Source organism: Homo sapiens, chromosome 8, assembly GCF_000001405.40.
Source record: "Homo sapiens chromosome 8, GRCh38.p14 Primary Assembly".
Lineage (NCBI taxonomy): Eukaryota > Metazoa > Chordata > Mammalia > Primates > Hominidae > Homo > Homo sapiens.
Genome location: NC_000008.11, coordinates 87,237,439 through 87,262,064, shown reverse-complemented (window position 1 = coordinate 87,262,064; position 24,626 = coordinate 87,237,439). Strand labels below are relative to the sequence as shown.

Genomic DNA, 24,626 nt, shown 5'->3' with positions numbered 1-24,626 from the left:
CTCCTTCCTCAGCCCTCAAAGTAGCTGGGACTACAGGCATGCACCACCACGTCAGGCTAATTTTTGTATTTTTTTTTTTTTTGTAAAGACAGAGTTTTGCCATGTTGGCCAGACTAGTCTTGAACTCCTGAGCTCAAGCAATCTCCCTGCCTCAGCCTCCCGAAGTGCCGGGATTATAGGTGTGAGCCACTGCACCTGGCCTATGTTGCATTTTAATAAGGAACTTACTAGAAACGGTTAAAGCAAACTAAATATGACCTGAGAAGGACTCTGTACTACTATATTTGAGTCCCTGTGGATGAATTGTAACCTAGCTTAATAGTCAGACAAGACTGAAAACCTAACTTAGAAGTAGGCACCTGTAACAATAACGGAGTCTTGGCCAATCCCAATGGCCATAATTTAACCACCCATTGACTGCTAAGTGTTCAAATTCTGTTCAAATAAGGCAAATGCCAACCCGTAACCAATCCAGTTGTTTCTGTACCTCACTGCCGATTTATGTATGTCATTTCTCTTTTTTTTTTTTTTTTTTGTCTATAAATAAAACTTCTTCCACCATGTGGCTGGGCTGGAGTCTCTGTGAATCCACTGTGATTCTGGGGCTGCTTGATTCATGAATGGTTCATTGCTCAATTAAACTCCATTAAATTTAATTCAGCTGAAGTTTTTCTTCTAACAGATGGTGTCAGAAGTGGGATCCAAAGTAAAGCTTCTAGCAACCCCCAGGAGCACTGAACCCGCAAGGTACCTGCAGGACCCATTTGTGTCCATTGATCTCTCAGAGCAGCTGGGGATCGTGGGTAAGCTCCCTTTCAGATTTTGGAGCTCCACAGATTTGTGTTTTGAGCTCTCTGAGTTTCTTTGAGCACATTTCTCATCCAAACTGGGTTTGCAAGTCATGATAGAAACTGGACTGGGTCCGGGAACAAATTGTATTTGGGAATTAACTGTCTTGAATTTAGTTAGAGGTCTCTTACCTCTGACTGGGTCAGAAAGGGACTGGTAGGAAGCAGTAGTATTGCAGGGGTTATAAAATTTGGCTTTAAAAAATTCACAGGGATTTTTGTGTTCTATCCCTTTGTGTCATTTTTCTTGCATGCTTAGGTAGGAAAAATCATTGACTAAGTTAATGAAGAGAACCTGAGAGTAAAGCCAATATTTTAGATAAAAAATGGGATCCTCAATTTTTGGAAAACTGAGTTCCTTCTGGCTTATACATTAGGCCTAGGAGGCAGTAAAGTCTTACAGAAATGACAAAATCTTACTAAAGATAACTTATAGTAGAACATTCCAAATGAACAACAACACAGTGAAAAAAAAAGAAAAAGATTTTCTTCTGTGTTGTGGGTTGGCCTCCATGGCTATGGTATGGTGAGCTGGGTCACTAGGGCCGCTCAAGGAAAGAAAACCCAGAAACCTGGCATCCTGGCAAAAGGGTAAGAGTTTCTTACCAGTCAGATTTCTGGCTTTTCTCTCCCTGTGCAAAAACAGTGGAATGAATGGTAAAAATCACTTTATCTCCCCTGTAAAGTTTTGATTAATGCAAAAAAGAATTCTGAGGCTAGTCTTAAGCTGTAATAAATCTGGTGCATTTTGTGCTATGAATTTGTTTTTCTGTGTCCAGGAGTACCTTAGGAAAAAATACGGGCTTAGGCCCCCATAAGCTCACTGCTCAAGATGACCCAGCAAGATGGTCACTAACAAACTTTGCTGCAGGTCCCTGAAATAAACAAAAAAACTGATGAGGTCTCCATCTTGTTTTATGTCTTTGAGAGCTTAACCTTGTAACCACATGGGGGTACTTTCTCTTGGTCTCTGCCTTCCAGGGTACAGGAATTTTAGGGTTCAGGTCGTAATTAGCTCTAAAAATTATCTGGAGTAGTTAAAAGCCTTTGCAATCTCAAAATTAACTACTACAGACTCCAACTGGCAATGGCAATTTAGACCAGCCTGTGCTGTAGCTCAGTAGCTAAGATTTTTTCCCTTTCACAGTGGCAGTCGAGGTTTGATTCTCAGCTTAAAAAATGAGTCTTTTCTGGTTTAATGTCTGTGTATCCTTGTCGATTCTCTTCTTGTCCACGGACTGTCTTAAATTTTCCTTTCTCCGAGCACCTGGAAGGTTACCTTTCGTAAAGTTCAAAAGTGAGAAATATCAGCCATTTGGCCTATCTAAAGTCAGGTAATACTAAATTTTAAAAGGACTTTATTAAAGAGTCCTGTGGTTAAAACTCAGCTTAATTAAAAGCGGTTATTCAAACTCTCACAGTCTGGACTCCTTAGGAAAAACAGGAGGCACCAGAGAGCCTTTCCTGGCTCTGTTCTTCCAAGGACCCCACCCCAAAGCCAATAACCAATTAAGAAACTTAAAAACAGGCAAATGAAAAATCTTACAACTATTGTAGTAATCTCGTTCTGTCTGTCTGTGTAGTTACATATGTGTTGTGTATGTAATGTTTATATAAAAAAGTGCTAATTAATTGGCTTAAACAAAAATAAGCACTTAAATCAAATATTTTGAAAGTGAAATAAAAACAGTAATGTCTTTTAGTTGTAACTTTAGTAACCTTTGGGAAATAAGAACAGCTTTAAAGATTATTAGTAAAATAAAAACATTTGGTCTAACTTATGCAGGTCAGATATTAGGTTTGCTAAATGCTTTAAGGTCATAAACTGCTTTAACTTTTGAAAATTGTTCAATTTATTTTGGAGACATTAAATTCTAAATAAGGCCTAGGGATATGTGGAATTAGCCATGCTTCCTTGCTATGCAAAGAAAGTTATAAAGAAAAGATAATTCATATAATTCATGGTAAATTCTTGTCCTAAAGTGACGGGTTGTTTAAAAAGAGGGATGTTTAGGACAAGTCAGAAAGTCCAAGGATGTCGTAGATAGCCTGTATAAGTTGTGAAAGGATTTATAAAAGAAAATTTATGCACCAAAAGTGAAAATTGTTAAAAATTACCACTATAACATGTAATTGAGACTACTGAAAAAATAGGTTTACATACAAGGTGTGTAAGGAGAATGAAATGTGTTTTGGTAAGAGATTATTAGAAGGTATGAGAATGTAAATGTTTGCTTAGTTTAGGTTAAAGGATTGTTTTAAATTAAATAAACTAAAGGTTTAAACAAGTTGTGGAAGGTATATAAAAATTAACCTTGTGAAAACACTCTGTGTGAAAATATTCACTAAAGGGATATTATTTGTTTTTCAGTAAATTGGACATGTAAATAAAAGCACAACAGGGTTTTCTTAAAGCACAAGTTTTCTCTTTAACAAAAATTTGTAAAGGGTTATAAAAGGTTTATAAAAATCTCACCTTATGGTCAAATTGATTAGGATTGGATAGATTTGTATACAAGGTTTACTGAAAATTGGGGTTGACATTAATAGTCCACTAGTGCAAGGGTGAAATTTGGCTTTCTCTCTTCAACAAGATTTTCATGTAATATTAAAAGATAATGAAAAATTTTGGCCTGGCATGGTGGTTCATGCCTGTAAAGCACTTTGGGAGGCTGAGGAGGGCAGATCACTTGAGATTAGGAGTTGCAGTGGTTGCAGTGAGTCGAGATCATACCACTGCACCCCAGCCTGTGCCAGACAGTGAGACTCCATCTTAAAAAGAAAAAAAAGAAATAAAAAAAAGAAAAATTTTTGTTTGCCTTTTAAATACACTACACACACAAATAAAGAAGGGAAAGACAAAAGACAGACTGCTTGCAAATCTAAGTCTTCCCTTTATCAATGAGTAAAGGTTTTTGCCTTTTAAAAAATTTTTGAGTCATCATTTTGGCTAAATGAATGCCTTATGGTAACCTGGAATTCTAGTTTACAATATCAAGTGTTTTAAACATTTAACATATTTAATAGGCCTCCCAAAATCAAATTTAAGCTTCAAAATGGTCTTTTCTGATCTCTAACTTTGGGATGATACAGAGGGCACTTAAAGCATCCCAAAGACAGGTAAACAGAATTCTTTAACAAGTTAAGTTACATGGGAAGCATTGTCAACATAAAAATAATGTTTAATCTTCAGGTTATATTTTAGTGAATGATATTAAGATATGTTTCAAAATTGTATGGGATTTCTAAAATTCTAATATGTCTGAGTATATGCTGTCAATCATAATTAACGTTATTATGTTATTGTACACCATAGAAGTAACCAAATTTCCTTGTATAAAAATGCTAACCCAAGTAGAACAAAAATTAATTAAATACCAAGAAAATACTTTTCCAGATATTCATGTTAAACCAGCTGATACTGAAATTGTTTAGGTGTACAATTTGAACTCCACAGTCTAAGTCAAATTACCTGTGATAACCCCTTAGTTATCAGTGCTATATACCTAAATTGGAGAATCAACTGGTATTCAAGAGGACATAAATCCAATGTTAAGCATGGACTCACGGAGAACCAGGATGGCTGCCTTGTCCTTCCTGAGTCCTTAAAGCTTCTGCTATTAAAGGTTCTGCATTCCATGACTTATCATGGAAAATATAAAATGATCCAATTTGAATATATTGATGAGGTGACTTATAAATTGCAGAAATAGTTTAAAACCAATGTGTGGTTCCATATTCCCAGGAAGACAATCAAAGCTTCAGGTACATTTGGCTACCTGATTGGCCACATAAACATTTATAAAGAAATTTCATTCAATTGTCATTTCCTTTTTTTTTTTTTTTTGCGATAGAGTTTTGCTCTTGTTGCCCAGGTTGGAGTGTAATGGCACAATCTCAGCTGACTGCAACCTCCATCTCCTGGATTCAAGCGATTCTCCTGTCTCAGCCTCCCCAGTGGCTGGTATTACAGGTGCCTGCTACCACACTGGCTAATTTTTTTTATTTTTAGTAGAGACAGGTTTCACCATGTTGGCCAGGCTGGTCTCAAACTCCTGACCTCAGGTGATCCACCCACCTCAGTCTCCCAAAGCGCTGGGATTACAGGCATGAGCCACCATGCCCAGCCCAATTGTCATTTTCAATGAATGTTTTCTGATTGTATAAAAGCTTTCCCATGCAAGAGTGTTGATGTTATAACAGTAGATTATTATGTTACAGTATATTTTCACCAGGTAAAGAAAGCTTTTTGTGGTTCACTGAGGACAACCCCTTCACAATCTAGAACCCGAAGATTGGATCTTATGAGAACATCATAGAAAGACTGTCCTTGCCATTCACACTACAGCAAAACTTCAGAACCTTGAACCTTGGATTCATAATCTCACAACTGACAAAGATCTCTTTATACTCTTGGAACTGTATATCCATTGTAAACCTTAAGGGAAAACTAACCAGGATGGTTTCTCCCAAGAAAAGATGACATCCTTGATGTGAACAGCATTTCCCAAAGAAAAAAAGTGCTGTATAGAATCAAATTAAAAACAAATTTCCCCCAAATCACTGATCTTTAGATATGGGGAGAGAGAATTTTGATACTCAGAATTCATGGCCCAAGAGGGTAGAGAGGGATGGATTTGTTGAAGAAGAAATAAACTACTGGCAATTGTGGAACACCTTCTGCTGCCAGGCACTTCATCTGTATCAGTCTTCACAGCAACCTGGGACGAGTGAAGCTCTTCACTGCTCAGGTTCCCATAGCTAGGCAATAGGAGAGCCAACCAGGACACCTGGATTCAATACTTACATACATTCTAAAAAATAATGTAACTTCAAATAATTATTTTTTCCCCTTGATATGAGTACAGTTCTCTTAATTTAAAAGTATATTTTTGGGCCAGGCACAGTGGCTCATACCTGTAATACCAGCACTCTGGGAGGCTGAGATGGGTGGATCACTGAGGCCAGGAGCTCAAGACCACCCTGGCCAACATGAGGAAACACCATCTCTACTAAAAATACAAAAATTAGCTGGGCATGATGGTGTGTGCCTGTAATCCCAGCCACTGGGGAGGCTGAGGCAGGAGAATCGCTTGAACCCAGGAGGTAGAGGTTGCAGTGAGCTGAGATCATACCATTGCACTCCAGCCTGGGTGACAGAGTGAGACCCTGTCTCAAAAAAAAAAAAAAAAAAAAAAAAATATATATATATATATATATATATATATATATATATATATATATTTGTAGCTGCAAATCATATGAGTATTTTATATATATATATGAATCTTGCAACATCAGTCTTTTTTGTCTTATTTTATTTAAGGCATAATATGCTTCCTATTAAGCACCATGCTCAAGACTCACTGAATTCTCATAATTACCCTATGAAGTAGTTTGTTAAAATAGTCATTTTAAAAAATAAGAAAAATGAGACCCAGAAGGCTAAGGCACATTCTTAAGGCCACACAGATGGTAACTGGTAGGGTCAATGTTGGAAGTTAGGCAGTTTGGCTCTAATGTGTCAGCTGACTCAATTCCTGTCCTTTGTTAACTGTGTGAGCTTAGAGTCACATACAGAATGACTGAGGAAAAGATTTGTATTAAATGCTAAAAAATTATAACAACAGATATTTATTTTTAGTATTTTTTTAAAAACCTGATTATATTTATATAGATTTTTCAAATATTTAAGATTATCAAATCTATATATTAAATGGCAGGTATATGTTAAATTGTTATATTGTTATTTCTCTGATCTCTTTTCTCAAAAAACTATAATCATTTCTTCTCTTTTTACACCTTAGCTCTACTTTCTTGCACAGGTATCATTTTATCAGGCTATTAACAGTAAGTATAAATTATAACTACTCAGTACATTTTTTTACATGCAGAGAGTTTATTTACTGGACCCTCTACATCTTGTTTCCTGTGGTTCTTTCTCAATCTTCCATGCCACTCCCTTCCCTGAACACCAATTGTCCCTTGATTCCACAAGTTTCCACAAGTTGTCTCTGTCGACTTTTTTTTGCAAATCCATAAGGTAGATGACATAATCCAACTGAAATGCAAAGGGTCTTAAGTAACCTTGCATTAAGTAATTTTGCATGTAGACAGACTTGTCCTCTACAGAATATCATTACATCATTATGTTCTATAATCAAACCCCTTCTTTCGCACATAGGCCATACTGAATGCATAAAGATCAGGTAGTAAAAATCTTTTTTAAAAAAAATCAGTGAATAGAGTTTTTAATTAAAACTAGTCACTGAAATATAACCAGGAAAAAAAAGTATTTTGCTTTTACTTTCTTTTTAATTTAGCAAGCTAAATATTTCAATGACATTCTTCTTGCCCCATTTTCTATTACAGTAGCCTCAAAACAGAGTAAAAGCAAGGAACTGACCTAACGCTAAATAAAAGGAGTGCTGAAAAATAGTTTTAAAAGGTCCAGTGTCTGTTAAGGATGGGAGGGATCTGGGTGCTATTGCACTTCACATATTGCTTGAACAGGTGATACGTGAAAATCCCCACCTGACTTATTTCCTCCAGAAGAACTTGCAAAACAATAATGAATGAGGGTTCCAAATTATCCATATCTTTGTTACAGTGAAGTCATTAGCACCATCCCTCTACATGCATATCTATACTGAGAAGAATATTCAGTTGATGAGAATCCTCTACATTGAAACCAAAACCCAGAGAGGGAAGAGCAGTTGATACCACTTGGATGTGTTGGGCCATCCAAAGAAATAATATTCCTTTTCCTATTTTAATCATGTTATAATACTTATCATGACAAAAATTATATCACAAATTATTGACTATTAAACAGAAATGCTTTGATTGAACCACATGATAAGCTACACAGCACTGAAATAGCCTCTTTATTAATTGTTACCCTATGAGTCCTTTTCCAACTATCTCTCTGGAATTTTTTTCTCAGTTCCTCTTACTGCCTTCTTTTTATTCTCAGGCTTGCTTAGTGGGAGTCTTTTCCAAGGATTTCGTCCTCAGGTCTCTGTTCTTCACTTTAGGTGGCTGCGTTGCCTGAGAACTCATCAACTCTGATGACATGGTGTCACTACTATTTGGAATATTCCTAAACTGTTCTCCATTTCTGACCTATTTCTGTAATGCCAGTCACATCTCAAAGTTCTACTAGACATTACTCCATGAACATAGGAATGTAATCTAAAACTTGCAATCTAAAATTCTTTTTCTCTCCTCTAATTTAGAGATCTTTATCCTCTACTTTGTGTATGATACTAGAATTTTACTAGTGACTCAAATTTCATCCTATACGTGTTGATTTTTTATGTAACTAAATTCCAATTCCCGTCCAATTCTTATATTCTTGAAATCCTCATGACTATTTAGTTTATGTTTAATGTTTTGTTGTTGTTTTTGTTGTTCATCACTTTTGGTCACTAATCAATCTCCCAATGGCAACTGTACTTTCTTTACCTTGATTTGGCACTTAAATGCTCATTTCTGTTGGTTAATTTTCTCCCTAGTTCTAGTTTGTCAATCTATCTATTTCGGCCACAATATTAACCTTCTTAAAACAATTCCTTCATTATTTCCCTCTCTACCAGTCAGGAACCTACCAGAAAAGAGATACCACATGGCACTTGGGTACTATGAGAACGAATGAAGAAACTACCTATTAAGGTTGTAGGCAAATCAGATGGAATATCCTGGGGCTAAGGGCAGGGCACAGGCACCTCCTGCAGGCCTAAATAATGAAAGGTGGACGTGCTTTCTAGACCTCACGACCCAGAGGGCTGTGTGGACAGGGCCATCTGACAGGAGCTGCAACCTTCAGACTTAGATTCAGCCAGCAATTCTGCAGAGGATGCCAGGGAAGAAACACTATGATCTCCACTCTGTTACTTCTTTCTGGTCTCCTGCTCCCTCTCTCCCCGGGCTGACTCTAACTGCAAGCCAGAAGGCAGAAGAGCCCTTAGACGTAATCCTCCGGGCCAGTCTTGGGGTAAAGGGCAAGGGAGAGAAGGGTGGGGAGTGGCCCTGATAAGTGAGTAAAGGGAAAAAGAGAATATATTCAAACTTTCCACTGGCTTGGCTGTTTTAGCTTATTTTTTAAACTACCCTTAGGAATCTGACGTAGTCTGACCTCTGCTTTCTTTCTCTTCTCTCCTTTCTCTCTAGACCTGCCTATTATTCATTGTCCACTGAATTTCCCAAACTTTTCACATACCAGGCATTTACTCATTTCTAAATCATTGTTTAAAACGTGATTCTTTGCAGTAAACGTATGTGCCCTCTCTCCTTTCTACTTAGTCAAGCCCTACTTTTCCTTTACAGTGCATCACAAGCTCCCCATTCTCAGTAGGCATATTTGGCCACGCAGCTCATCCCACCCCTGACATCCTGTAGCATCTGTCCCTGTAATTTAGCACTTTAATTGAGACTAACTCATCTTGCCACTTACTGTGTATGTTTTCATGTTTTAAGCCCCCAACCAGACTGTAAACTCTTTAGAGGCAAGAAAAAATCCCTCTGAGTTTTGGATTCCCCATGACATCTATCAGAACTTTACTAACAATATATACTAGATTTTAAATTTGAAAACAGGATCAAGGTTGCATTCATTTTTGCTTTCCCAGTTCTCAGCAGAGCCGTCAGTTTACAGCTCAAGTGCTTCCTTAAGGTTAAGTTAACCATACTAAAATACCAGTGGAAAAATAAATTATGTGTTTTAATTAATTTATTCTCTAAGTAAAATAACTAATTGCTCCTCTGATTATAAAGAAGTTTACAGAGTGTAGATATGAAATTGTCTTTCTTCATGTAAAAATAATTATTGGAATAAAAACGTAATTGATTTTGAATAATATTAAAACTCTCACTGCAATAGGAAAATATTGAGAGTCAATTATCATTGTTTGATATTCAATTGTCAACAAATTTTATATACTTAGATATGAAGGGAAAGTGCACTTTGCTTCTCATTTAAGTAAACCTAAAAATGGAAAAGCCTTTTCCTTTTTCTGATGTAAGATTTAGTATATCTTGGACCACTGTTGAACCATATTTATCATAATAATGAATATAATTCTGATTATAACAGAATGGAAAAATAGAAATGAATGTCAGAAGGGTCACCAGGGACTAAGTCTAATTTAAATGTTTTTATATGTTTGTTGTTTCTTCAAAAACACTCAAATTCTTATCAATTTATGTGGGAATAGATGAGTCTGCCCATCAGATATAGTAATCAAGATGGATTCCACAATGATGGGTTTCAAATCTACCTATAAGCATCATCTCAGAAAAAAAAAATACTTTCTTCAAAGAAAGTTTGCTTAGAAGTATACATGTATTTTTTTAAAAAGATAAATACAGAAGAATTATTCATATAAGAGATGAGTGTCTGAGACCCAGCCAGTGTAAGAAGAATGAAATGTTTTACCTAAACTTCCTATTGCCCATTGTGGCCCTAAAATGACTAAAGAATACAATTAGAAAAATAGCGTGATGAAATATATTTATGGTCATGTGACTCTGAATGGTACCATAGCATTTGGAAGGAATAAATCCTAAATGGTACCTAGACAAAAGTAGTCAATCCAATTTTTGTTCTTTTTTTTTTTTTTTCTTTTTTGAGACAGAGTTTCGCTCTTGTTGTACAGGCTGGAGTGCAATGGCGCAATCTTGGCTCACTGCAACCTCTGCCTCCCGGGTTCAAGTGATTCTCCTGCCTCAACCTGTCAAGTAGCTGGGATTACAGGTGCCGGCCACCATGCCCAGCTAATTTTTTGTATTTTTAGTAGAGATGGGGTTTCACTATATTGGCCAGACTGGTCTCAAGCTCCTGACCTGAGGCAATCCACCTGCCTTGGCCTCCCAAAGTGCTGGGATTACAGGCATAAGCCAATGCACCCAGGCCTCAATCCAATTTCTAAGAAAGACTGTTGTATTACTAACAGTCATGTCCAACATTCAGAACGTTAGGAAGAACTAGGGCCCTAAAACATCACAAAAACTAGGGCTCTGAAATTTTACTAATGATCTCAAGGGTCCTGTATTTATAATTTATAATTTTTATTTAATTTTAATTTTTTAATTATTAAGGGTACATAACAGTAATATATATTTATGGGGTACATGTGATGTTTTGATATAGGAATACAATGTACAGAGATCAAATAAGGGTAATTGGGGTATCTATCACCTCAAGCTTTTATTGTTTCTTTGTGTTAGGAACATTGCAATTCCATTCTTTTGGTTATTTGAAAATATGCAATAAACTATTATTGATTATAGTCACCCTATTGTGCCACCAAATACAACATCTTACTTCCTCTATCCCATTGTAGTTTTGTACCCATTAGCCATCTCACTTTATCCCCCAATCCCTGCTATCTTTCTCTGCCTCTGACAAACATCATTCCACTCACTATCTCCATGAGTTCAGTTTTTTTTCTTAAGCTCCCACATTTGAGTGCTAACACGCAATATTTCTCTTTCTGTGCCTGGCTTATTTCACTTGATATAATGTCCTCCAGTTCAATCTATGTTGTTGTAAATGATAGGATTTCATTCTTTTTATGGCTAAATAATATCCCATTATGTACATATACCACATTTCTTTATTCATTCAATGGTTGATGGACACTCATGTTGCTCCCATATCTTGGCTATTGTGAATAGTGCTGCAATAAACATGGGAGTGCGGATGTATCTTTGATATACTGATTTCATTCCTTTTGGATATATACTCTGTAGTGAGATTTCTGGATCACATGGTAGTTCTGTTTTTATATTTTTGAGGAACTCCCATACTGTTCTCCATAGTGCCTATACTAATTTGCATTCCAACCAACAGTGTACAAGAGTTCCCCTTTTTCCATATCCTGGCCAACATTTGTGATTACCTGTCTTGGATAACAGCCATTTTAATTGGAGTGAGATAACATATCGTTGGAGTTTTGATTTGCATTTCTTTGATGATTAATTATGTTGAGCATTCTTTCATATATCTGTTGGCCATTAGTATGCCTTGTTTCGAGAAATGGCTATTCAGATCCTTTGTCCATTTTGTAATTGGATTATTTCATTTTTTGCTATTGAGTTGTTTGAGCTCCTTATAAATTCTGGTTATTAATCCCTTTTAAAATGGGTGGTTTGCAAATATTTTCTCCCATTTGGTGGGTTGTCTCTCCACTTTGTTGATGTTTCATTTGCTGGGCAGAAACTTTTTAGCTTGATGTGATCCCATTTCTCTATTTATGCTTTGGTTGCCTGTGCTTTTGGGGTATTACTCAAGAAATCTTTGTTCAGGCCAATGTCCCAAAGAGTTTCTCCAATGATTTCTTCTAACAGTTTGAAGTTTTATATTTAAGTTCAAGGGTCCTGTTTTTATAATGAGCCTTTCTAATCTACTGGATGATTAAGTTATCTTGCATACTGTCAAACTAACTCCTGAGAATTTTGCATCAGAAACATATTCATCTGCTCAATAGCACTTCACTCCTGTTTTGCTTGCTAACAGAAGCCTGATTTGGTTAGGAATTAGGCTGCAAAGTGCACATAGATCATGAACCTAGTTCTTGGGACTGAATCTTAATTGATTGCTTTAAACTAATAATGGTGATTATATTCACTTTTATCAATTTGCGGTTGAAAGATAGACCTATAACCTAGTCTAGCCAATGGGATGGAAATGGGAGTCTGTGCCTTCTGTGCATTTTGTGGAAATGTTTTCTCCACAGATAAAGGGGTAAAAACATGATGAAGAAGCATCCTCTACCCTAAGGGTCCCTGACTCCTGGGCCACAGATTTATACTGCTCTGTGGCCTGTTAAGAATCAGGCCACACAGCACAAGCAATGGGCAAGCAGGAAAAGCTTCATCTATGTTTACAGCCATTCCCCATAACTTGTATTACCTCCTGAGGTCTGCCTCCTGTCAGATCAGTAGTGTCACTAGATTCTTATAGGAGCATGAACCCTATTGTGAACTGTGCATGGGAGGGATCTAGGTTGTGTGCTCCTTATGAGAATCTAATGCCTGATGATCTGACGTGGAGCTGAGGCAGTGATGCTAGTACTGGGGAGCAGCTGCAAATACAGATTCACATTAGCAGAGAGGTTTGACTGCACAGAGACCATAATAAATCAATTGCTTGCAGACTCATAACAAAACCCTATCAGTGAGTGGCAAGTGACAAGCTGCATCTGGTGGCAGGAGTTATAGTAGTGAGTTGATATACTTCAATTGTATAGTTGCATCTGGTGGCAGGCTTTAAGTCAGAATCTGACACTTAGTTTAGTCCATACGTGGCCCTCTCATTATTTTATTTACCACTTCTGTTCACGCCTCTTTCCTGCACTGTGTACTTGTCTCAGTCACAGTTTTGGTAAGCCCACAAGCTAACCATAGCCAAAATGAGTAAAAACCAAATGTCACTGGAAGATTTCTTTGAAAAGGGGGAAAGACCCAATGAGGGGACATCAAAAGACTCTGTGACTGCCAACAAAAGAAAGTTGTATTTAAAAGAAAATACCAAGAATCCTACTTAAATTGCAGATTCACTGCAACAGGTGATTCACATTCTCCAATCCTGCTTTATATAATATGTGGCAACAGGCTATCCAACGAAGCCATGAGACCTTCAAAGCTGCTTCTCCACATGGCGATCAAGCGCCCTGTATTAAAAGACAAGCCTCTGCAGTTTTTCAAAAGAAAAAAATGTGAACACAAAGAATAGAAGCAATTATTGAAGGCCACCACTTTATCAAATGTGTCTGCACTGACAGCATCATTCTTAGTGGCTAACTGCATTGCTAAAGCTAGGAAGTCTTTTACTACTGGTGAAGGTTGATCCTACCTGCTACTAAAAACATCCATTGTGAACTTTTAGGAGAGGCTGCAGTTTAAAAGGTGGCATAAGTTCCTTTTTCAGCTAGCACTATAACCAGATGAATTGATGAAATAGCAGAAGATATTGAGGCACAATTGCTAGAGAGGATTAATGAGTCACCATGGTACACAACCCAGATTGATGAGTCTACCAATGTTGACAACAAGGCAACAATTCTTGGTTTTGTGTGATATATTTTTCAGGAGGATGTGCATGAGAATATGTTATGGGCAATTTTTTGGCCAACCAACAACACCACAGCTGCAGAACAATTAAAGTCTTTGAATGATTACACATCAGGAAAATTGGTCATTTTGTGTAAGTATGCATGGATGAAGTGGCTTCCATGACTGGACAGCTTTCTGGTTTCACCACTCAGGTCAATGAGGTCACTTCTGAATGTGAGTCCATGCACCGTGTCACCCATACAGAAATTGTGGCTAGCTGAAAAATGCCATTTCACCTGAACTTAACAACTGAAAAATGTCACCTGAACTTAAAAACATTTTGCAGGATGTGATTAAAAGTATCAACCGCATTAAATGCCCTTAACTCACATCTGTTCACGTAACTCTATGAGGAAATGGATGCAGAGCAAACACGTCTTCTCTTACATACAGAAATGAGAGGGCTTTCTAAAGGTAGATCACTGGCCAGAGTTTTTGAGTTATGAGAGCCACTCCAGAGATTTCTTATAGAAAAAAAATCACCCCTGGCAGCATATTTCAGTGACGCAGAATGGATCGCAAAACTTGCTTACTTGTGTGACACATTCAACATGGTCAAGGAATTTAATCTGTCACTCCAGGGGAGACTGACAACTGTGTTCAAGTCATCAGATAAAGTAATTGCATTCAAAGCCAAACTGGAATTATGGGGCAATGAGTGAACATTGGGATTTCTGACATGTTTCAAATATTAGTAAAGATTTTGAAAGAGACACAGCCAGGGCCGTCTTACTCAGAGCTGGTGCGTGATCACCTCTCTCAGCTTTCAAAAGAGTTGGAGCATTACTTCCAAACCAGAAAAGAGCCCTTAACTGGGAAGGAATGGATCTGCAACTCATTTGAGAGTAAGCCAGATGAATGGACTTTGTCCGTGCTAGAAGCGAATCAACTGCTTGAGATCACAAATGATGGTGGCCTTAAAAGTATGTTTGAGACAACTTCAAATCCCCATATGTTCTGGATTAAAGTCAAGGTGGAGATTATCCTGAGATTGCCACAAAAGCACTGAAAAGCCTGCTCCTGTTTCCAATATCCTACCTTTGTGAAGCAGAGTTTTCTGTAGTGACAGTAACCAAAACGAGATTATGGAGTAGACTGGACATAGGCAACATAATTCGGGTGTCACTGTCTCCAGTTGCCCCCAGATGGGACCGTCTAGTTCCAGGAAAACAAGCTCAGGGCTCCCATAGGTTCTACATTATGATGAGTTGTATAATTATTTCATTATATATTACAATATAATAATAATAGAAATAAGGTTCACAATAAGTGTAATGCTCTTAAATCATCCCAAAACCATCCCCCACCCCTAGTCCGTGGAAAAATTGTCTTCTACAACACTGATCTCTGGTGACAAAAAGGTTGGGGAGTGCTGCTCTCCCATGCCTGGAAGAGTGCTAACAATTGAGGTGCAAATCTGAGGAAGAAATTCAGCATTCTAAAAGGGACAGGATGGAAAGACAGGGGAGCCTCTGTGTCCAGGTAATTTTGTTGTGGTTCTAAATTAATCCCTAAAGTCATCTATCTCAAAGACTTTCTGTGAGATAAAAAATATTCTTATTGTTTAAGTCATTAGCAGTAATTTAGATAACATAAAACCAAAACTCTCTTAACTGATACAGAGATTAAGACCAAATTCTCTAACCAACTTTCATGAAATGGTTTTCAGTCTCGAGAAGAAATAAAATCTATATTTAAAAGTTGCAGACTATACTCAAAGCTTATGTTGTTGTCAACAATTCTGATAGTTATTGGCATCATCCATTTGGGGTTTTGCAAACCCAAAAGCTTCTCATTCCCAGTCTAATTAATGACAGAAAGAGATAATGGAAATTATGACATGGGAAATGAATATAAATAAGCTTTTTCCAGAAGTAATGGAAAAATTACAGAACAGGTTTGCCAGAGTAAAAATTATAGACCAGGCTTGCCTCATCTTTTCATCATTTTGTGTTTGTCAGAAAAATTTAAAAATTAAAGGAGTAAAGAATCCCAAGGCAATTACAAAAAAACACCAAAACTGAAAACAATCGGCTTAAGGCAGTAGTTCTGGAAAATTTTATGAAGATAAAATAGGCACTAAAGTAAAATAAACCAATGGATATGAGATATTAGTCCAAGAACCTGCTGTACTTTAAATGAAATGGGCATATAGTATGTACTCAATTATTACTAGTTTTCTTATCATAAATACTGCTAATAATGGGAAAGCAAACATCAATAAAGAAAAAAACAATATATCCATAATAATAAAAGAATGATAAAGTGAGAATATCAACAATATATTTAAAAATCATATTTGCAACACGTATATTAAAAAATTATATCACTACTATAATCAAAAGTCTTATAAATTAATAGGTAAAAAGACAAAGAAAACAAAAGTAAAACGAGTACACAATATCAGGCGCTTCACAGAAGGCATGCAAACATCCATAAACCAGAAACTATACTTATTTTCCTACCTTCAAATATAACACTTTTTTTTAATCTTACATAAAGTTGAAATTATTTAATCTCCAAATACAATACTTAATATCATGAGATAAACAACAGCAAGCTTGATTATATTTTGATGTCTTCATAAATGTAGTAAAATAAGAAACAGTTATATTAAAAAAATGGGAAGATGTAAAGAAACAAAAGCTTCAATTGTATTTAAGTGTATGTTTCTGAAATGAAATATCGGAGTTAATGTTTATATGTGAAGTCCTCTTATTTTATGATGTTATTAAAAAAGCGTTGGTAAACAGACTTACTATGTACCAATAAACATATCTCTTTTATTGCTCTTATAATACAAGAGTTGTAAAAATTTTACACAAAGTATAATTTTTACTTTTTCTCTAATTTATGTTTAAACAGTAGTAAATTTACTATGACCCAATGTTTGTTTTTAGTTACAGCACACATTTTAACTCTTGATGAAAACAAAAGGCAACTACATGTTGTGATGATTAAGAAATAGCTTCATGTTATAAATATATTACAAGCTATCTGTATTAAATGTTTCGATGATCGGAGAGACAATTAGATGTTAAGTTCCAATTCCATTATTATAGTAAAAATATTTCCTGATTGACATTTTAGTTTTGAACATTTGAATATTCTAATGTTTACATTTTATTTTAAGAATAAAGCAATCACATATATTTTAAACATCAGTTTAGATAAAATAAATGTAATAAAACTGAACTTTAATCAATATAGATTAAATCCTCTATCAGTTGCAATTTAGTTGAATCAAAACTCATTTCACAGTTCATCTTTGACATTTTGAAGTCTCTGTCTAATTAAATTTAACTGGATTTAATTTAATTTATTCTTATTGAACACCTTAAAAGCTCCTAGCATACTTATACTACGCATTAGAGAAAAATAAGATCCCTGACTTAAAGGAAGCCATCTTAACACTGGGGGTTGGGATATGAGTCAGGGGACATCTAGAAGTAGCAAAGAACCATTTAAATGTCTATGAGTAAGTGGAGGAGGGGCAGATGAAGAGAACTGGGTTAAAGGGTATAAAAATACAGTTACTTAAAAGGGATAAATTCAACATTTGATAAGCAAGGAGGACGATATTGTTAAACAAAAATGTATTATACTCAGGAGATAGACACCCTAAATGCCCTGACTTGATCACTCTCAATTATATACTTATAACAAAATTGCATATGGGTCTGTGAAAAGAAAGTCTTGGAGCTCCAGAATTACTAAGCTAAAGGAAAAAGTCAAGCTGGCAACTTCTCAGGGCCAACCTGCCTCCTATTCTATTCAAAGTTATCCTTCTGCTCATTGAGATAGATGCATAGCTGATTGTCACCTTTGGAAAGGTTTATCAGAAACTCGAAAGAAATGCAGCCATTTGTCCCTCACCTACCAGTGACCTGGAAGCCCCCTCCCTACTTCAGGTTGTCCCCGCCTTTCTGGATGGGACCAATGTACTTCTTACATATGTTGATTGATGTCTCATCTCTCCCTAAAATGTGTAAAACCAAGGTGTGCCCTGAACACCCTGGGCAGATATCATCAGGACCACCTGAGGCTGTTCATGGGTGCGCATGTTTAACTTTGGCAAAATAAACTTTCTAAATTAACTGAGACCTGTCTCAAATTTTCAGGGCTCATATTCCCCATAAATTTATACAAAATTTTTTTTAATTAAAAAAACAAAACATAAACTTTATACTCCAGTCACACATAGATCAATACTAAACAGCAAATCACATTCTGTGTCTTTTTTCACTGCATATATATATTACAAGTTTTGATTCATGGTATTTTTGTTTTGATATGTGACATTTATGTATTTTTGTTTAATTGAAATAGTTTTGATTTTTTATTGTGACTCCTGTTTTGTGTCACGAATAATTTAGATGTGTTTCTTAAATTGAAAACTTATTTTTCTAGTTGCCGTTCATTTTGTTTTTTATAGTAGTTGTGTTGCATATTAAAAATATGCTCTATAAAACACCACTTTCAAAAATGCCCATGAATAAATGAGGTAAAAGATTTAGGGAACCAGGGTAAGACCATACCAGGAATGAATCTGTGAAGAATGTTGGATAATGAAGAGACAAGTAAAAGAATATGGAGCACTGACCGCAGGGAATGGCGTACTCAGAAGGTCAGGCAGCACCCATTATCAGAAATCTGGAGGCAGCAAAATCAAATAGCTTAAATTCCTTGTCCTTATCAAACATGACTTTGCCTTTACTCTTCCAAGATATCCCAATAGTCACTTGATGCAGAACTTACAATTAATTGGAATATGTTCTTGTTTGAAACAAATTGGTTGAGTTTTATCCAGGATCTGAAGATGAAATTGCTATTCAACTGCTTTACGAAATGAGATATTCTTTCTTTAGTTGGATCCACCATTTATCAATGCCTTCTGAATTTTCTCTAGATATCTGATAAAACCTCAGATGTACTGGGCAGTATGCATAAAATACTCATGGCTTCATTATCCTCAGCTTGAATAATACAGGTTGTGCTGATAACACAGGTTAGAAATATTTTGTATTTGGGAAATGGAAAAGTTAGGATTTGATGGTTTAGTGATTAATTTGTTCAAAATAACTTTACTGTAAATTAAGGAAATATACATACTGGCAGCAGGTTGATTTTACCACATTTCCTCCCTCCACCCTGTCCTTTTTCAGAGGTTTTGTTATTGACAGACTAGCTAGTAATTGATACAAGAAAATAAAGAATATTTTTGAGTTGGGATTTATTCCCATTAAGAATATAAATATCAACAATTAAGTTTATGCCATAAGCAATTAAATTATTGTCTATGAAAAAAGTTAAACTCTGAGATATTTGAAGTGATTTATTCTGAGCCAAATATAAATGACTGTGGCACAAGGCAAAGTCTCAAGAGGTCTTAAGAACATGTGCCCAAGGTGGTTGAACTACAGCTTGGTGTTATACATTTTAAGGAGGCATAAAACCTCAATCATTACATGTAAGATGTGCATTGGTTCTATCTGGAAAGGTGGGACAACTTGAAGAGGGGCCTTCTAAGTCATAGGTGGATTCACAGACATTCTGAGTGGCAATTAGTTGAAAGAGTTAAGCTATTATCTAAAGACCCTGAATCAATAGAAGAGGGTTAATTAATATAAAGGGTTAATTAATATAAAGGATCTGCATTAATATAAAGGGTTGTGGCTACCAAAGTTCTTATTATGCAGATGAAGCCTCCAGGTAGCAGGCTTCAGACATAATAGATTGTAAATGTTTCATATCAGACTTAAAAAGGTGCCAGATTCTTAGCTAATTTTCTCTTGTATCAGGAAAAAGACCTGGAAAGGGAAGGCGATTTTCTATAGAATATTGATTTTCCCCACAAGAGACAGCTTTTCAGGGCCATTTCAAAATATGTCAAAGAAATATATTTTGGGGTAAAATACTTCAATATCTTCCAGGGCCTGCCATCTGTCATGTTGGCATTTTATGGCTACAAAGAGTGTTTTGTCAGTCTTAAGGTCTCTGTTTTAACATTAATGCTGGTCAGTTGTGCCTGAATACCAAAAGCAAGAGGGTATAATGAGGAATGTCTGACCCCCCTGGCAATTATGTCCTCAACTAGTTTTTCAGGTTAACTTTGTAATGTTCTTGGCTAAGACGAGGGGTCTATTCAGTTGGCTGGGGGCTTAGAATTTTATTTTTTATTTACATTCTCTACATATGCTTATTATCTCTGGTTCCCCAACTTATACACTTACAAAGAGAGGTAGAACCATTGCCTTTTCTTATCTTACCAAGAAAATAAATGGTATTATTATAGCTTCCAAAATGATCACAAATAAGTATCATTTTGTTTTTTTAATAGGTATTGATATCCTATTACTTAAACTATTTTTTTACATAGGCACAAACTAAGAATTTAATCACTGTGTATTCCCTGCCTTTGTAATCTCACTCCTAGACCAAAGCAGTGAACCTATAATTATTTTTCCTGCGTTAGTATGTGACACCCTGCTAGACACTTTCATTGTTATCCATTCAAAAATCTTCCATGGGCGGGGTGCAGTGGCTCACGCCTGTAATCCCAGCACTTTGGGAGGCCGAGGCGGGTGGATCACGAGGTCAGGAGATCAAGACGATCCTGGCTAACACGGTGAAACCCCGTCTCTACTAAAAATACAAAAAAAATTAGCCAGGCGTGGTGGCAGGCCCCTGTAGTCCCAGCTACTGGGGAGGCTGAAGCAGGAGAATGACGTGAACCCGGGAGGCAGAGCTTGCAGTGAGCCGAGATCGCGCCACTGCACTCCAGCCTGGGCGACAGAGCGAGACTCCTCAAAAAAAAAAAAAAAAAAAAAAATCTTCCAAATACAGATTTTTGTGCCCAATGCTATTTTAAGTATAAGATTCAAAGTCCATAATTTCAACTACTGTCTCAAATGAGTACAAACTCCTTCAACTGTAAATTCAAGATCCTCTTGAGAAATGAGATCAGGAAGTTGGCAGCAAAGATTGAAAGATACCTGCTTCATGACAATTTTTAGAGTCCTGAAGTTTTCTTTTTCCTCCACTCCCAGTGACCTCTGGGCTCAGAGTGAGGACACAGCAATTTAGTGGAGTAAACTTGAAACTTTCCCTAGCCCATCAACTGGGGGGACCCACAAAAAGTATCCAGCTAAACTGTACGAAAAGGGAACAACCCTGGAGAACCTCCTGGAGAGATGAATTTTGACCCTAAAAAGCGATTCAAGTGGTCACTGCCTGAAGCCAGGGATCAAGGGTACGGTATTAAAAAGCCCTCTAGGAGGCAACACCAGCTCCAGGGAACTGCAGGAGGGGAAACACCCTGAGAAAACGAGCCTATATTTGGACATCCAATCACATAAGGTCCCATTACCATTTTGCCTTTAATTCCCAGCCTCCTTCCTTTCCTGACTGGAAAGAGCCAGAAAACCAAGCTAGTGAGTAAAAGAGTATGCAAAGTAAGAAAGGGGAATAGACCAATTTAAACTATTCTTCCCACTGCTGGATTCTATGGCACAATAAGGCATAAGCTGAGTATCAAGCATGAAAGTTTGAAAATTTGATATAAAGACAGGACTGGAATTTGTAAGACCAAAAAGAGTGAGGTTATTCATTAATACCTAGGATCTGATTGAGGTGCTAAGATCCAGGTATCATGGAAGAGTAATACTACACCACTTGTTTGAAAACTTTGGTGTAAAAAAAAATTACTATTTTATAATTTACCCTCACTGGGCCCTGCCTGTTGAATATATTAATATATTTTTATCAGTTTTTTCCACATAATTCCAAATGTATTTCAAAGAAAACTACTTTAACAAACTAGAAAGTTCTTTTAATAATTATTGAGAATCTTCAACTTAATAATTTGCTTTTATAATTTTGCTAAATTTAATCATAGCAAAAATAGATTTTAGTAAAATATGTTTAACTGCAGATAGTAATATATGTTGAATATAGAAGTATATAAATATGAAATATAGAAGTGCATGTTTGTGTCTGTGTGTGTGTGTGTGTGTGTGTGTGTGTGTGTGTGTGTTTTGGCACAGACCATACTATATTTATGCTGAGATGTCTCTAAGAAATTTGAATTTATTATTATAATTTTAAAAGTTGTAAGACTAATTGGAAAAATAAAATTAATGAAAGATTTTAAAGCTACTTAGAAGCATTAAGTTGGTGATCTTGTAAATAAATGTGTAATTTTTTATCTCTTTCCTTATATAATCAACTCTAATGAAAAAGCTTTCAGCTTCAATGTGTAAATCTATGTTGAGAAAAGCAAAAAAAAAATTGTTTCACTGTACATTTATACTGCACTTATTTTTCGTCCAGGGTGTAGTAAAGAGTTAGAACAGCAGATGCTTGGAGCTTTAACAATTTTTATTCACAACTATACATTATCTCATGAGAAATAAATTTGATCCTTGGATTAGATGTTTTTCACCTTATGTTTGTTATACTCAAATGATGCCCATTAGTTTACCAAACTGTTGGAGGGTGAAATTGAAGAGTGAAAATGTTATAACTTTTTTCTTCTTCTTAGTTGTTCGGTTCTCTGTTGAAACTCAATAAAAAAGCAAATAATGTTTTTTTATAAAGCCAAAAAAGGGAGAAAGAAAAATATAGCCCTTTATGTGTGCAAAACTACAAAACTCTCCTAGACACAAATCTTTGGAAATAGTAATATTTTTATTTGAAAAAGGCCCACTAAGTAAATACACAAAAAGGCAAATTTTTAAAATAGGGAAAGAGCAGCATGTTTCATAACACCAGCTAAACTCATAATTTCTACAGGGGACAGGGTTAGCAAGGATACTTTAAATTTTTAGCAATGTGAAATAAGTTTATCAGTAATCATATACTTGTCCTTCTGCAAACTTAAACAACAACAAAAACCACAGAGTTGCTGCAAGTTAAAATTGTCTGCCTTGATTTCTATCTTTTCATTTTTTCAAAAAATTTTATTAAACTAGAAAAAATACTGGATTTAGAGCTTAACTGCCTGCCAGCCAGCTAGCAATACAAATCCATCACTGGAGTACTGGTAGTCTCTGACCAGTTGTATCAGTACCACTGATAAAATTTTAATGATGTTAAGCAGGCATTAGGTACTAGTAGAAGGGAATGTACTGGAAGGTACAATATCTCAGACGTCTGAGATATTGTAGAATGAGTATTTATAAGGACCATGGCATAGGATGATTGCTGCTGGGAGCTCTCAGTGCACTAAAGGAATACAATAAAAGGAAGAGGAAAATTAATCACCCATTTAAGATGAATGATCTAATCCCAGGGTTCTTTGGCAGCACATAAAGAAAATCTCATTTTCAACAGTTAGAGGGCAGAAAAATCTGAGAATCTGACTTGGTATATAAATAGGCCGGTAGGTAGGTAGATAATTGGTAGGTAGGTAGGTAGACAGATACATACATGATAGAGAGATAGATATGCACATAGATATAAATATATTCATATTTATCTTCTCTGGAGCTCTGCTATAGCAGTCTCAACCTCTGCAAGTATTTTTTTATTATTATTTTATGCTAAGGCTAGGGCCCTGATGGAGAAGTGGAGCTGTAAAATTTGAGATAGTGACATTAAAGCCTTGATACACAAAATGTCATCATGGTCACCTGTTACAGAGAATAAACAGGCAGAATTCCTAAAAAGTAAAGTTTTGGTTTGGGTCTGTTTCCCAGTGGCTTCACTGGGTCCATAAGCCTACCCCATGGGCAATATCCATGGTCCCTAAAAGCAAAATTTAAATGGATACTTGGTAGTGGGTAGAGTTTCCACATTGGTTTCTTGGCCTGTGCAGTAAGAGCTATCACAGTAAAGATTAAGTGGAAGCCTCTGAAACTTCTCTCTACCCTTTCCCCCACTCTGGCCAAGATAGGAAATTGAAAACCATATCACATCTCAGGTGGAATGCCAGAAATTAGTACTGCTCCTAAAGACCTAAAGCAGAATGCAGATCTGGTGATTCCCATCATATCCCCATTTAATACATGAGTTTGAACATTAAAAAAAAAAAATCGGTCTTTGAAGCCCTAATTACAGCTGTTGTGCTAAACGTGGCATATTTGCTAGAGCAGACTAAAATAGCATTAGGTCCATTATATGTGGTCACTGACATGGCAAATGCATTGTTTTCCATCCCTAACAAGAAGACAATCAGAAACATCATTCATTCATGTGAGATGAATAATATACTTTTATAGGCTTGTTCATTTTTATCCTTGTCATTCTTTCTGGATATGATCCATGCTTATTTCTCTTGAATATGATATTAGTTCTGGATTTTTCTGATTGTACCCCATAATGCTAAATTATTTGGTTTTAATTGGTTCTTTGACTCTTTTCTACTCTGAACATCTTGATCACCCTAAATTGAGAACTGACTATCAGCCACAATTCTAGTCAATTCAGACCTCTATCCCATGTGGAGTATCCAGAGATTCGGAAAGATATGGAACTTTTAATTTTTGACCAGCTAATAGTCTTGAAATATTATATAGATGCAAAAGATTTTCCTCAATTAAGAATTTCTGATTGTAATGTAATTAACTACTTGACTATCTTAGCATTGCTCTTGAGACAAACATAATAAACATACATTCTTGACTTGATTTAAAGGTCTTTCATAATCAATTAGTCTTCCTG

General features: G+C 36.1%; 1 protein-coding gene across 4 annotated transcripts in view; it reads right to left on the bottom strand.

Annotated features, from left to right (window-relative positions):
• Window positions 1-24,626, bottom strand: part of CNBD1 (cyclic nucleotide binding domain containing 1) — a 562,238-nt gene that overhangs the window by 166,588 nt on the left and 371,024 nt on the right. The window contains exon 7 of one of the 4 annotated variants that reach the window (XM_024447082.2): window positions 6,728-6,909. The exons of the other annotated variants lie outside the window; for them this stretch is intronic. Within the exon in view, the coding sequence (XP_024302850.1) occupies window positions 6,748-6,909 (162 nt within the window). The 3' untranslated portion in view covers window positions 6,728-6,747. Of the gene's footprint in view, window positions 1-6,727; window positions 6,910-24,626 lie in introns of those variants that run through there. 4 annotated transcript variants of the gene reach the window in all.